The 12795-nt window shown below is 54.7% G+C and overlaps 1 protein-coding gene across 17 annotated transcripts in view, besides 2 other annotated features; it reads left to right on the forward strand.

Annotated features, from left to right (window-relative positions):
• CCDC33 (coiled-coil domain containing 33) overlaps window positions 1-12795 on the forward strand; it is a 133474-nt gene that overhangs the window by 118741 nt on the left and 1938 nt on the right. For 10 of the 17 annotated variants that reach the window (XM_047433141.1, XM_011522085.4, XM_017022625.2 and 7 more), the window contains 7 exons: window positions 8450-8615; window positions 8924-9012; window positions 9242-9373; window positions 9464-9557; window positions 10940-11106; window positions 11482-11583; window positions 12142-12228. In XM_047433141.1, coding sequence (XP_047289097.1) covers window positions 8450-8615; window positions 8924-9012; window positions 9242-9373; window positions 9464-9557; window positions 10940-11106; window positions 11482-11583; window positions 12142-12228 — 837 coding nt within the window. Of the gene's footprint in view, window positions 1-8449; window positions 8616-8923; window positions 9013-9241; window positions 9374-9463; window positions 9558-10939; window positions 11107-11481; window positions 11584-12141; window positions 12229-12795 lie in introns of those variants that run through there. The other 7 variants (XM_017022624.2, XM_017022628.2, XM_017022626.3 and 4 more) reach the window with 3 other exon arrangements.
• Window positions 999-1118: a silencer, noted in NCBI's record as "silent region_6645". NCBI's record gives its function as "represses an Ori minimal core promoter by ATAC-STARR-seq in GM12878 lymphoblastoid cells {active_cell/tissue: GM12878}" and the evidence as "EXISTENCE:reporter gene assay evidence [ECO:0000049][PMID:35858748]".
• Window positions 6449-6950: an enhancer, noted in NCBI's record as "H3K4me1 hESC enhancer chr15:74620529-74621030 (GRCh37/hg19 assembly coordinates)". NCBI's record gives its function as "activates a minimal SCP1, AML or CMV promoter by ChIP-STARR-seq in naive H9 embryonic stem cells {active_cell/tissue: H9 hESC(naive)}" and the evidence as "EXISTENCE:reporter gene assay evidence [ECO:0000049][PMID:30033119]".

Consider the following 12795-nt stretch of genomic DNA (forward strand, 5'->3'; position numbering starts at 1 on the left):
TAGATTAGCCAAGAGAGACCTCTCTGACATTCAAAGGACACCTACAGGAGTTCTGTTTGGCAAATCTGGCAGGAGCAGGGTCTGGGTCAAAGGATTTGCCTGAGTAAGTCAGGGAGGCAGGGAGGCCCTTCCCTGCCATCAAGGTCTTTAGGAGCTGAAGGGGGAGCATGTGCGTGGCCCTTGGCAGATGAGGAGTGCCAGGCTGGTGTAGGCGAGAAACAGCTTCTGGGCAGAGGTAGGGAAGGCTTTGAAGATAGGGGCCCAGAAGGCTGGGCCCATGGGTGGAGTGGCCAGGGCTAAATTCTGAAAGGGGGTCTAGCTGTGCTGAAAGAGGTGGAAATTCAAAGTTGGAAATTTACCATGAGGGCCAGTGGGAGTCATTGGAGGGGTCTGGAGGCCAGAGAGGATGTTCCAGTTACCTATTGCAATAACAAACTACCCCAAAATGTTATCATTTAAAACGATAATTTTTTCTTTTATTATCACATCTCATAGCTTTGTGGGTCAGGAACTCAGCCACGGCACAGCAGGTCTAAGTCCTCAGCTGGGACGACCTACGGGCAGGGGCGGGAGCAGCCAGGGCTGGGTGGGCCTCGCTCTCTCCCATACACTTAGTTTGGGCTTCCTCACAGTCTCAGGGCAGCAAGGAATTAGCAGCTAGCAGGGAAGAATTGGGGTTACTGCAAGATGGGTCTCATCCCAAGCCCCTGTCCTCACCACTCAGCCCCAACATCTTCCCTGGAGCTAACCCAGGATAGAGGCCCCAGGTTCAAGATTCACTGAGTGACTTCAGGCAAATCTCTGCACCTCTCTGGTCCCAATATCAGAACTTGTGAGATGGGGGTTCCAGGGCTAGAGGTCTTGGAAGGCTGGCTGGACCACCTGGAGGAAGGACATGTGCTCCTGGAACTGGGGAGAGAGACAGCTCCGCACACACCTTCCCCACAATATGAGCTGTGGGCCACTCAGGTTGGCCTCATCCCACCACAGGCTGAAGCTGAGTGTCTGTGGGAGGCGGCTGCCCTCTGCTGACTGCAAAGGCAAACCACATGCAGATGGCCTGGGCCTGCCAGCGATGGATCCTGGGGATCCGGGGAACCCTGAGATTGGGTGGCCGCCCAAGGAAGGGGACAGAGGAGAGGGTGTGTGCCTGGTCCAGCAAACCCACCCTCTGCACCCACTTCAACACTAGCCAGACTGCCACCCACACTACCTCAGACCCAGCAACCTGTCTCAGGCCTCCTTCTCTGGGAGAGTGAAGCCCCTCCCCGCTCCTACCCCTGCTCCAGCCCATACCTCCCCTATGCATCCCTCCCTCTTACCTTCTAAGTCTCCAGGAAATCCTCTCTCTCCACCACTATGCCTCTCCTTGACCCTGTTTTCCTAGCTACCTTTGACCCTTCTCAACCTCACTGTCCCCTCAGACCTTACCCACAGCACCCAGCATTCAGAGCACTGGCCAAGGTCACTTCCTCCAGGCCACACCAAGAGGCTCCCTCTGCAGATCCGGAAACTGCTAAGCCTTCTCTCCTTTTTCCAAAATTCTTTTAAATTGTGAAATGTAACCCATTTCACAATTTAAGAAAAATTGCATTGAACATATAGAACATAATTATTATAAATTATTATATAGCAAATGTCCATGAAACCACCACCCAGGTCAGGAAACAGCATCACCAGCATCCTCACGCCCCTCATGCCCCTCCCAGCCACACCCCTCCTCTCCTGGATGTAATCACTCTGCCAGCTTTCTGTCCTTGCTTTGCTTCTTTATTTTTTTATTTTTTAATTATTTTTTTTATTTTTGGGACACAGTCTTGCTCTATCACCCAGGCTGAAGTGCAGTGGCATAATCTCAGCTCACTGCAACCTCCGCCTCCCGGGTTCAAGTGATTCTCAGGCCTCGGCCTGCCAAGTAGCTGGGATTACAGGCACCCGCCACCACGCCCGGCTATTTTTTGGGCTTTTGTGTAGAAATGGGGTTTCACCATGTTAGTCAGGCTGGTCTCAAGCTTCTGACCTGGAGTGACCTGCCTGCCTCAGCCTCCCAAAGTGCTGGGATTAAAGGGTTAAGCTGCCGGTTGGTTCACGCCTGTAATCCCAGCACTTTGGGAGGCCAAGGTGGGCGGATCATGAGGTCAGGAGTTCGAGACTAGCCTGACCAACATGGTGAAACCCCGTCTCTACTAAAAATACAAAAAAAATTAGCCCGGCATAGTGGCAGGCGCCTGTAATCCCAGCTACTCAGGAGGCTGAGGCAGGAGAATTGCCTGAACCCGGGAGGCGGTTACAGTGAGCCAAGATCACACCACTGCACTCCAGCCTAGGCAATAGAAAGAGACTCCATCTCAAAAAAAAAAAAAAAAAAAAAAAGTGTGAGCCACTGTGCCTGACCTGCTTTGCTTCTTTATACTGTCGCTACCTGAGCATGCCTCTCGAATCACTCTGGCCTAAATTTTCTATTTTTACCTTCATGGAGAGGGCACCGTGACATACACATTGCTTTGCACACGGCTCTTTTGCTCACCTTGATGTATGTGAGGTTCACCCACATCATGGTTTCTTATTGCTCTGAAGTATCCCGCTGTATGGGTCTCCACCTGCCCCTATCTCTGCCCCATAATTCCTCACTCACTTGCCAGTTCTTTAATGTTTTTATGAAGGTGAGTTTTGCTTTGTGTCCCATTCAGACCATCTCTAGCGGCGGGTTCATCTCCATCATCCAAGCCGCAAGACTCAAGCGGAAGGTGGTTGTCCTCCTTTTGAAGCCCTCTTGCCAGCCTGCTCTCGCCGCTTTTCCTCCTACCTCTCTGGCAATTGCGCTAGTCCTGAGAGCTCCTCTCCTACCACCCCTTGTCCTTGAACCCCCTCCTCACTCCACAGTTGCCAGACGCTGAAAATCTGCTCCCTTCCCAAGGCTCCAATGGAACCAGGGCTGTCCTGCCACCTGTCCCCCACCAGGATTCACTCCAGGCTTGATCACCATCAGCCACTGCTGGCCTCCTGCACCTGAGGCCCTGCAGGTACCTCACCCCTAACACGCTCCTCCCCCAACCCAGCTCCCCCTCCTTCCCACTCCAGACCTGCGCCTCCTCCACCCAAAGACCCCAGCTCCTCCTCTCCTCATCCCCCACCTCCTCCTTCTCCCCTCTTCCTCCTTCCCACTCCAGGCATGCACCTCTACCAAAAGGCCCCAGACTTCTCCCACTCCTCCCCCTCCTCCCCCACCTCCTCCTCCTCCACACTACAGGCATGCACCTCCTCCACCCAAAGACCCTAGCCCCCTGCCAACCTCCTGCTCTGCCATCCCCAACCCTCCTCTTCGTTGTTCACTTCACTCTGTCATGCTGAGTCCTCCTTGGTCTGCCTCCACCCAGCAAGGGTCCCTGGCTCCCTGCTCTGGGCCTCCATTCATTTCTCTGTCCATCTTGGTGGCCTGAGGCATCTTGCCACAAACCCCCTCCAGCTTAGGCCCTTCACTGGCCTGCAGGATGGAATCCAAGCTCCTGAGATTGGCCACACCCCTACTTACTCCCCAACCAGCACTCTGCCCTCCAGGAAGTCACCGACTTTGTTCCTGATCATACACTCTCTCTCCTCCCTGCCTTTGCCACAGTGTCTCCTCTGCCCAAGAGCCCTCTCCCCTACCCCGGGTAACACCTGCTCACCCTCCTAGAGTGAGCTCAGGCTATCACCACCTCCAGGAAGGCTTCCTAGACCTGGGGCTAGGAAAAGAGACTCCTGTAAGCTCTCCTCTGTCACAGATGTCACTGCCATCTCCTTGGTGTAGATGGGAGACCATCACAAGCAGGGACGGTCTGGGCTGGTCTGGGCTCCATGGCCCCAGTGTGGACATGGCCTTCAGCAACTGCTGATGACTGTGCTGCTTCCAATGTAGCCTTTACACTGAGTCTCTGTGACCTTGGGAACACTACTTCCAATCTCAGCTTCCCCATTTTACAATGAGTTTATAAGGACCCTAAGTAGCCACAGGTGTCATTGGATGCAGTGCCTCAGATTCTGCCAGAAGCACTTCTTATTTTTTTGCGGGGGGTGGGTAAGGGTTAAGCATTACCCTCTTTAGGCCTCCTGCACCCAAGGCCCTGCAGGTACCTTACCCCCAACACACCCTCCCTAACCCAGCTCCTCCTTCTCCCCACTCCCAGCATAAAAACAAAGACAATCGCCATTCCTCCTCCTTCGTGGGAACTGGTCCTCAGTTTCTATACAATGAAAGTAGTCACATCATCATATCTTCTGTGCCCACTGCCCAGGGTTATAATAAGAACCATTAAAAGTGCGACGGCAGGCAGAATGGCTCATGCCTATAATCCCAGCACTTTGGGAGGTCAAGGTAGGAGGATCTCTTGAGGCTAGGAGTTCAAGACCAGCCTGGGCAACATAGCAAGGCCCCATCTTTACAAAAAATTTAAAAATTAGCCAGGCATGGTGGCACACACCTGTAGTCCCAGCTACTTGGGAGGCTGAGTCAGGAGGACCACTTGAGCCCAGAAGTTCGAGGTTGCAGTGAGCTATGATCATGCCACTGCACTCTAGCCTGGGTGACAGAGTAAGTCTCCATCTTGGAAAACAAGAAAGCACTCAGAAGGTGGTGGAGGAAAAAGAGATGCTGTTGCCAGGCACCCTGTGTGCCAGAGCCTGGGCTGGCACTGTTCATGCCCCCTCTCTCTCCACAGCAACCCCCCTTGGGGTGGGGTGATTTTCCCATTCCACGGATGAGGACGCTAAGGCTCAGAGAACAGCCTCCCTTCCAGAGCCAAAGCGAAGGTGTCGGTGCAGCAAAGGCCACCAGCGCTCAGTGGCAGTGGGGCAATTCAAACCCAAGGACACCTGACATTTCTCACCTGGGCAGGATCTGATAGCTGGGTCTTGGATGGGGAAAGCGCAGTGTCAATGGGTGAGGAGAATGCAGTGGGCACTAGCCTTAGGCACAATGGCTTTGGAGTCAGTCCTTCTAGAGGAGGCTAAGCCTAGGGACAAGACAGGGAAGTGGCTGGTGCCTGACCCTCCCCCAGCAGACTGGAAAGTGGGGAGGGGGCTGGAGGGGAGGGATTGGAGCAGGGGAGTCAGCAGGACCACAACAGGAATCTGGGCCATGGTGTCCTTCCTGTTCTCAAGGCTGGGCTGTGACGCAGAGCATGGCCCTGGGGGTTGGGGAGGCCCAGCTCCAGGCTGTAGGGAGTGGTCAGGGCTGCTCATCTGCAGGCAGTGTCCTCCCAGACCAGCTGTGCTGCTCAAGGTCACTGCTGTGCGGGTGGGGGAAGCCGAGGAGGGAAAGCAGGTCCTTCAGTTTCCCACAGATGTAGAGGGAAGAGAGCATACAGACTGAGGGGTAAGCCAGGGCCGAGATCCCTCTCCATGCCCTGGGGGAGCCCTCTCTCTCAGAGAGCAGCCAGGCTTGGTGGGGGAGGGGGATAGGCACCTGTGGAGGCCTATAGGACTAGTCTCCGAGGAGTGGAGTCCAGCAGGGACCGTCTGACTGAGACAGGGACGCGGCCTCACCAGAAGCCATGCTCTCCCTCCATCTCCTTCCTCGCTCTGGGCCCCAGCTTTCTTTGTCTGTCAAAGCGAGGTGTTAATAACAGAGCTCTGGGCCAGGTGCGGTGGCTCATTCCTCTAATCTCAGCACTTTGGGAGGCTGAGGCGGGCAGATTACCTGAGGTCAGGAGTTCGAGACTAGCCTGACCAACATGGTGAAACTCCATCTCTACTAAAAAGACAAAAATTAGCTGGGCGTGGTGGTGCACGCCTGTAGTCCCAGCTACTTGGGAGGCTGAGGCCAGAGAATGGCTTGAACCTGGGAGGCAGAGTTTGCAGAGAGCCAAGATTGTGCCACTGCACTCCAGCCTGGGTGATGGAGTGAGACTCCGTCACAAAACAAAAATAAAAATAACAGAGCTCTGCTCATGCCCCAAAACAGCTGAGTTGGAGAACAGGAGGGTCTTAGAAAAAATGACCCTCTGAATGAGAAGAGGGGGTGATCAGACCCATGGGGTGGGCTGAGGAACTGGCAGCCCCCTCCCCCAGGACTCACTCCATGAGCATGCTCACAACCCGGTTATGGACAGGATCGTATTAATTTGCCACATGCACTTTCCTTTCACAATAGAGCGTGGCCATCTCTGTGTGTCAGTATAATAAAATCTGGGTCATCCTTTGTGACCACAGCCTGTGGTGCAGAGACTGAGCATGCCCTCATATAAGACCACAAGCTGTGCTGCAGTGAGCATCCCTGCATGCATTTTCCTGGATGTGTGTGTGCGTGTTTCGCTGGAAGCCAAGAAAACCCATTTGGATGCTGCTGTAATTGTCCAGGGCAGATATGCTAAGAGCTTGAACCAGGCTGGGCAAAGAAAGAAGGGGCCAAATTTCCTTTGCCAAAATATCGTGTGCTTCCTTTGGTCAGTCCCCCATCAGTAATGGGCTGCCATAAACTGAAGATTTAGAGCACAGCAAAGGAAGGGCCTGGGAGCTCTGGGGGCAGCAAGGAGGAAGAGGAAGGGGTCTGACCTGTTGATTAAAGCAGTGATTAGAATAGAAATGGGTGTGGAGGAGAGCAGCAGCCTCCAAATTATACCTGCCTGGGCAGGGGCTTCACGCACCAACTCTTGAGCCTCACAGCAACACCAGGCATCTCCGTGTGAGGACTCTGAGGCTCAGAAAGGTGAAGGGGCCTGGCTGAACTCACACTGCATGTGAGTGGCCAAGCTGGCCTGCTGATCTGGGCCTGACTGCAAAGCCCTGTGTGTGTGTGGTCTCTAGACAGAGTCTCTCCATTAACAATGCTGTCCGAGGACACCAGATGGGCAGATCTGGAGGAGCCAAGACCTGGAACTCAACAGGGGCAAGTGCTGGAGAGATGAACCTGGCACTGGTGCAATTAGAGGGAGCCCAACCAGAAGGCTAGACAGTGGCAGGTGACAAGTGGTGTCTGGTGGGCCCCTGCTGCCAGGAGACCCCTGCTCTCGAAGCCATGGCCTGCCATGCAGCAGGTGGGAGGCAGTGGCTGAGAAGGCAGGCCATATCCGCAGTCAGCATGAGGCCCAGGTGGTTGCTGGGGGCCGAGCTCTGCTTCCTGGAGGTGTGAGTCCCCACCCGTATGTACACAGCCTCCCACAGCTTCAGGAAGCCCACAGCCACAGGGGCTCAGCAAACGCAGGAGCAAACTCACTTCCCCATGCCCATTTCCTCCCCCATCCCAGCTCCCACCTGCTGTTCCTCCATCCAGACCTCTCTGGCTTCACATCGAGGTTGCAGTGAGCTATGATGGTGCCACTGCACGATCCTTTTCTATTTTGTGCTGTTCAGATTTAAGAAACTCCCTTTGTGAAACTTTATAAATAACAGTAGGGAATTTCTGCTTATAAAACAAATGCATATAAATATAGCCTATTAATTTTCATATATATATATATATACATGCACATGGGCAGGCATGATTTTTTCTCTCGATTGGGGATTGCACTGATCATTCCTTTTTGTAGCCTGCTTTTATCACTTCTCAGCGTATTGTGAAGTGTCCACATATGGAGGCCTCATGGCAGAATTGCACGGCTCTTCAGAACAGAGGCTCAAGTCCCTGCAGGCCTGGATTTCAGACCCTGGCTCTATCACTAATCAGTCTTGTAACTGAGCAAGTTACTCACCTCTCTGGGCCTTGGTTTCCGCATTGGTATAACGGAGATAATAGTACCTATCCACGCAGGTCTGATGAGAGGACTGAGGGAGGGCACATAAAAAGCTTAGAAGAAGACCTGGAACACAGTGAATGCTCAATGAGCATCAGACATTAGGATTGCTGTTGTTCCTGACCTCATGGCTGACTCCAGCCCCCAGCCCCACCTCATACCCCACATCCTGTAGCTGGATCCCAGCCTCCACTAAGCTCTAACCTGGGTCTCCCAGGGTGACCTTGGGTCCTCTGACTACTGAGCTGTTTGGAGGGCTGATGCCCAGTCACCTTCCAAGTGGCATCCAGTGGGATTTCTGAGAGGTTCTTCCCTGGGTTCTCAGTGACGTGAGGAATGAGAGGAGTTAGAAGATGGGGAAGGAGGAGGGAAAAGGTGAAGAAATAGCTATGATCGAGCCAGACCCTGCAAACCTGGCCCTGGATCTTCTCAAGTCTCCATTGCCCATAGGCCTCCTCCCCTGTGTCCACACCTGGGGTTTCCCCCTGAGTTGGTATCACAGGACGTGATGTGGCCCCGGGGAGAGAACATTAGTGTGGCTGCCCTCACATGGCCAGGATGGGTGAGGATCAAGTCATAACCACCCTTCCAGGGAGCTGCTAAGACTTAGGGCCATGGCTTGGGGCTCCTGGTGCTCACTGGCCTTGTGGGGGACCCACTGACTTTCAAGTGTAGATGTGGATGTGGGACCAGGGTTGCTATGGGGCAGTGGGCTCAGCTCTGGGCTCTGGGATCCACAGGAGATGAACAACTACCGGCGGGCCATGCAGAAGATGGCAGAGGACATCCTGTCTCTGCGGAGACAGGCCAGCATCCTGGAAGGAGAGAACCGCATACTGAGGAGCCGCCTGGCCCAGCAGGAGGAGGAAGAGGGGCAGGGCAAAGCCAGTGAGGCCCAGAACACGGGTGAGGATGTGCAGGCCACCAAGGGCACCCGGGCTTCTGCCTGGGCCCAGGCTCCAGGTTGTGCAATAGGGTGGCTGGGAGCTTCTCCCAGATGTGCATGCTGCTGGACTCTGGCAAATAGGAGCCCCTCGCCCACAGACACTCACACAGTCCCTGCCCAGCTGGGTCCTCTCAGGGATGGGAAACAGAGAATCCAGTCCCGTCCCAAGCCCTCGGGCCAAGGGATATCTGCCTTCCTGCTACTGACCATGCTGATTTGAGCTGGGAGAGGCTTCCTCCCTGAGCCAGCTCCCCAACCCACCTAACAGTGTCCATGAAGCAGAAACTGCTGCTGAGTGAGCTGGATATGAAGAAACTGAGGGACAGGGTGCAGCATTTGCAGAATGAGCTGATTCGAGTGAGCTGGGGCTTGTGGGGGCAGAGGGGAGGGAGCTATGGTGGGGGAGCATCGGGGTGAGAAGAGTCTGGGAGGAGAAGGGAGAACAGGCACAGAGGGAATGGAAGCACGGAAGAAAGGGGGACCAGCCTGGTGGAGGATTCAGCAGAGGGGCCGAGGTGGACCCTCAGGGCCAAGGTGGACTCCCAGGCACCCATTCTCTCCCCTTCTCTCCTCCCCCATCTCACAGAAGAATGATCGAGAGAAGGAGCTGCTCCTTCTGTATCAGGCCCAGCAGCCACAGGCCGCTCTGCTGAAGCAGTACCAGGGCAAGCTGCAGAAGATGAAGGCGCTGGAGGAGACTGTGCGGCACCAAGAGAAGGCAGGTGGCAGAGGGGCTGCCCCCGAGGCCAACTGATGATGGCAGAGTAGGGAGCCCCTGGGCCAGCCCAGCCTCTGCTCTGCTCTCCAGGTGATCGAGAAGATGGAGCGGGTGCTGGAGGACAGGCTGCAGGACAGGAGCAAGCCCCCTCCTCTGAACAGGCAGCAGGGAAAGCCCTACACGGGTGGGTCCACACCCTGATGTGATCAGCTCCCCAGCTTCTGCTCCACCCCTGGAGGCCCTGCCTTCCTGGAGCCTCTCAGCTTCAGGAGAACCTGCGAAGAGGTCCCCTGCACTCAGTTATGTCTGTGGGCCTGGGAGACCCAGGATTGCCCTGCTCCCCTCCTCATTCAGGCGCCCCATCCAGAGATCCCCTGAGCTCCCTCCTTCCCTGGAAGCCCCTCAGAACACAATTGGGATGCAGTGTGAGCCAGGCTAGAAAGAGGGTGGACCTCCAGAGGAGGGCCCTGCAGACTAGCACAGCAGAGAGGGCCTTCCCCTGAAGAAGGGCCACCTGGGGCAACACTTCCCAGCTCCTAGCCCCAGGATCCGTCGAATTATTTCCCCATACCGCCAAAGATTCTGCCTCTGCAAAGCAAACAAACAAAAATACTTTGATTAAATCAATGATCTGGGGCCAGGCGCAATGGTTCATGCCTGTAATCCCAGCACTTTGGGAGGCCGAGGAGGGCAGATCACTTGAGGTCAGGAGTTCAAGACCAGCCTGGCCAACATGGTGAAACCCCATCTCTACTAAAAATACAAAAATTAGCTGGGCATGGTGGCGGGCACCTATAATCCCAGCTACTTGGGAGGCTGAGGCAGGAGAATCACTTGAGCCCAGGAGGCAGAGGTTGCTGTGAGCCAAGATTGTGCCACTGTACTCCGGCCTGGGTGACAGAGGGAGACTCCGCCTCAAAATAAATAAATAAATAAATGATTTGGAGGTTTTCTTCCCCATCGATATTAACCAAAAGCCACCTAAAACTGCCAATCAGCCTCTGATAAGCAGAAAGGACCAGGTAACACCATATCAGGCCAGCCCAAAGCAAGGGATTTCCCTGAGCCTGCCTGTGCAACCTCACCCAGGGCCCCTGTGTGCCCAGCCCTGTGCTTAGCCTTCACCGCTGAGGGTCTCAGGGGCAGGAGGGTGTTTCTAGGAGCCTTTAGAATGCAATGAAAGCTGGGCTGGCCTTTCAGGAAGCCTGAGGTCATCCAGGAGTCTGGATGAGACTGAGAAGGCAACCTAGGGAGGGGAAACAGCCAGATCAAAGGCCCAGGGAGTGAGAAGAATTCCAGGATCAGAGAAGGGAGGAAGAGAGAGAGGTGAGGAGCTGAAATACACTGAAGACAAATGAGGAGTTAGAGAGAACGTTGAGGTCAGGTTCTAAAGAGCCTAGAAGGACAGCCTGTGTGCACCTGATCCCACTGGTGGTAGGGAGCCATTGAAGGCTTGGGAGTAGAGGGGAGGGGTGGCAGATTGAAGCAAAATGCTGGAGCAGATCAGGACAGGGACATGGGAAGCAGGAGAGCCCATCTCACCAACATCTGTGGCCGTGTCTCTAGGCTTCCCTATGCTCTCAGCCTCTGGCCTTCCCTTGGGTTCTATGGGAGAGAACCTGCCGGTTGAACTTTACTCGGTGCTGCTGGCAGAAAACGCGAAGCTGCGGACGGAGCTGGATAAGAACCGCCACCAGCAGGCCCCCATCATTCTGCAGCAACAGGCCCTGCCGGTAAGAGGCCCTTGACCTGGGCCTGCCTATGCCGGTCACTGGGTGCCCAGAAATCACCCATGGTACAACCCAAGTTGAAGATCAAGACCAGGAGCTAAGCTTCCCAGGGTCTCCAGTCTGCCTGGGGGCTCCTGGAATCAGCTCTCAGGCCTTGGTCTTTTTCTCCTGCGGAATGTGTGTCCCCGAACACTTCACCTTTAACCTCATCTAGCATCCCAGGAGAAAGCAAGCCCCTTGTTGACCCTTGGTCCCTGAACCCTGACCCCTTTTTCACCTGGCTGGCCTCCACCTGGACCCTACACAGGCCTCTCAAAACTCCCTTCTGGAGCATTCCCTGGTCTTGGTGCAGCCTTGGAGAGCCCTTTTCCATCCCAGGTGGACCCCGGGGAGTTGGGAGCAGGAGGAGACTTGACAGAGAGGCTACAAGAGACGCATGGCCCAGGCCACTCAGAGTGCACAGAGACCCTGCCCGCACAGGTGGGTGGCCCAGGGCCCAGAAATGCCCAGGCCCTGCTCCACCTCTGAAGATGCTTCAGGGGCCCCTTGCTTTACATAAACCCCAAAGCAGAACATTTGGAATCACAGAATATTGGGCAGGGCAGGGGCACAGGAGAGTTTTCTCTCCATCCCAGGACTCGCCGGAGGTGAGTTCTGTTGAAAGCACACCTGACTCATGGACATCCAGGTAAAGTGTGAGGGATGAGGTCAACTGCCTCACAGGTTCTTCACTTCACTCAAAGACTCCCAGTGCGTTAATTATAGGGGGCTCCCTAATGCATTTTACATTAAAAAAAATGTTGTGTCAAAACTTCGTATTCTCAAAATCTGTGTGGGAAACAGCTGTGAAAAAAGCACATGCCAGACCCTGTTCTGAACTTCCAGAAGAGGGTTCGGCCCAGGTCTGACGCTCTGCCTCGGGAGCTCAGTCTGAACTCAGGCCTGACTGGTTTCTTCCTCAATACCTTATGGTTTCCCAAGCTCACACTGCCACAGCCTCCAGCTGGGGCCAAATGTGAGTTTGTGCTTTGCCCACAGGATCTCCTCTCTGGTACTTCAGACAAGTTCAACCTCCTGGCCAAGCTGGAACACGCTCAGAGCCGGATCCTGTCCCTGGAAAGCCAGGTGGGTGAGATGCAGGAGTTGATGAGGCTGGATCAGGCTCACCACACAGCCTATAACCAGGGCTCAGTGTGTGAGCAGAGTCTAGGCTCAATCTATGACCAGGATCAAGGCTTAGTGTGTGGCCAGGGTCGGGGTTCAGTGTGCAACCAGGGTCAGGGCTCAGTGTACAACCAGGGTTAGGGTTCAGTGTGTAACCAGGGTCAGGGTTCAGTGTACAACCAGGGTTAGAGTTCAGTGTGTTACCAGGGTTAGGGTTCAATGTGCAACCAGGGTCAGGGTTCAGTGTACAACCAGGGTTAGGGTTCAGTGTGTGACCAGGGTCAGGGTTCAGTGTACAATCAGGGTCAGGGCTCAGTGTACAACCAGGGTTAGGGTTCAGTGTGTGACCAGGGTCAGGGTTCAGTGTACATCCAGGGTCAGGGTTCAGTGTGTGACCAGGGTTAGGGTTCAGTGTGTGACCAGGGTCAGGGTTCAGTGTACAACCAGGGTCAGGGTTCAGTGTGCGACCAGGGTTAGGGTTCAGTATACAACCAGGGTCAGGGTTCAGTGTGCAGCCAGGGTTAGGAT

The sequence above is a fragment of the Homo sapiens genome, chromosome 15, assembly GCF_000001405.40.
Source record: "Homo sapiens chromosome 15, GRCh38.p14 Primary Assembly".
In the NCBI taxonomy this organism is placed as follows: Eukaryota; Metazoa; Chordata; class Mammalia; order Primates; family Hominidae; genus Homo; species Homo sapiens.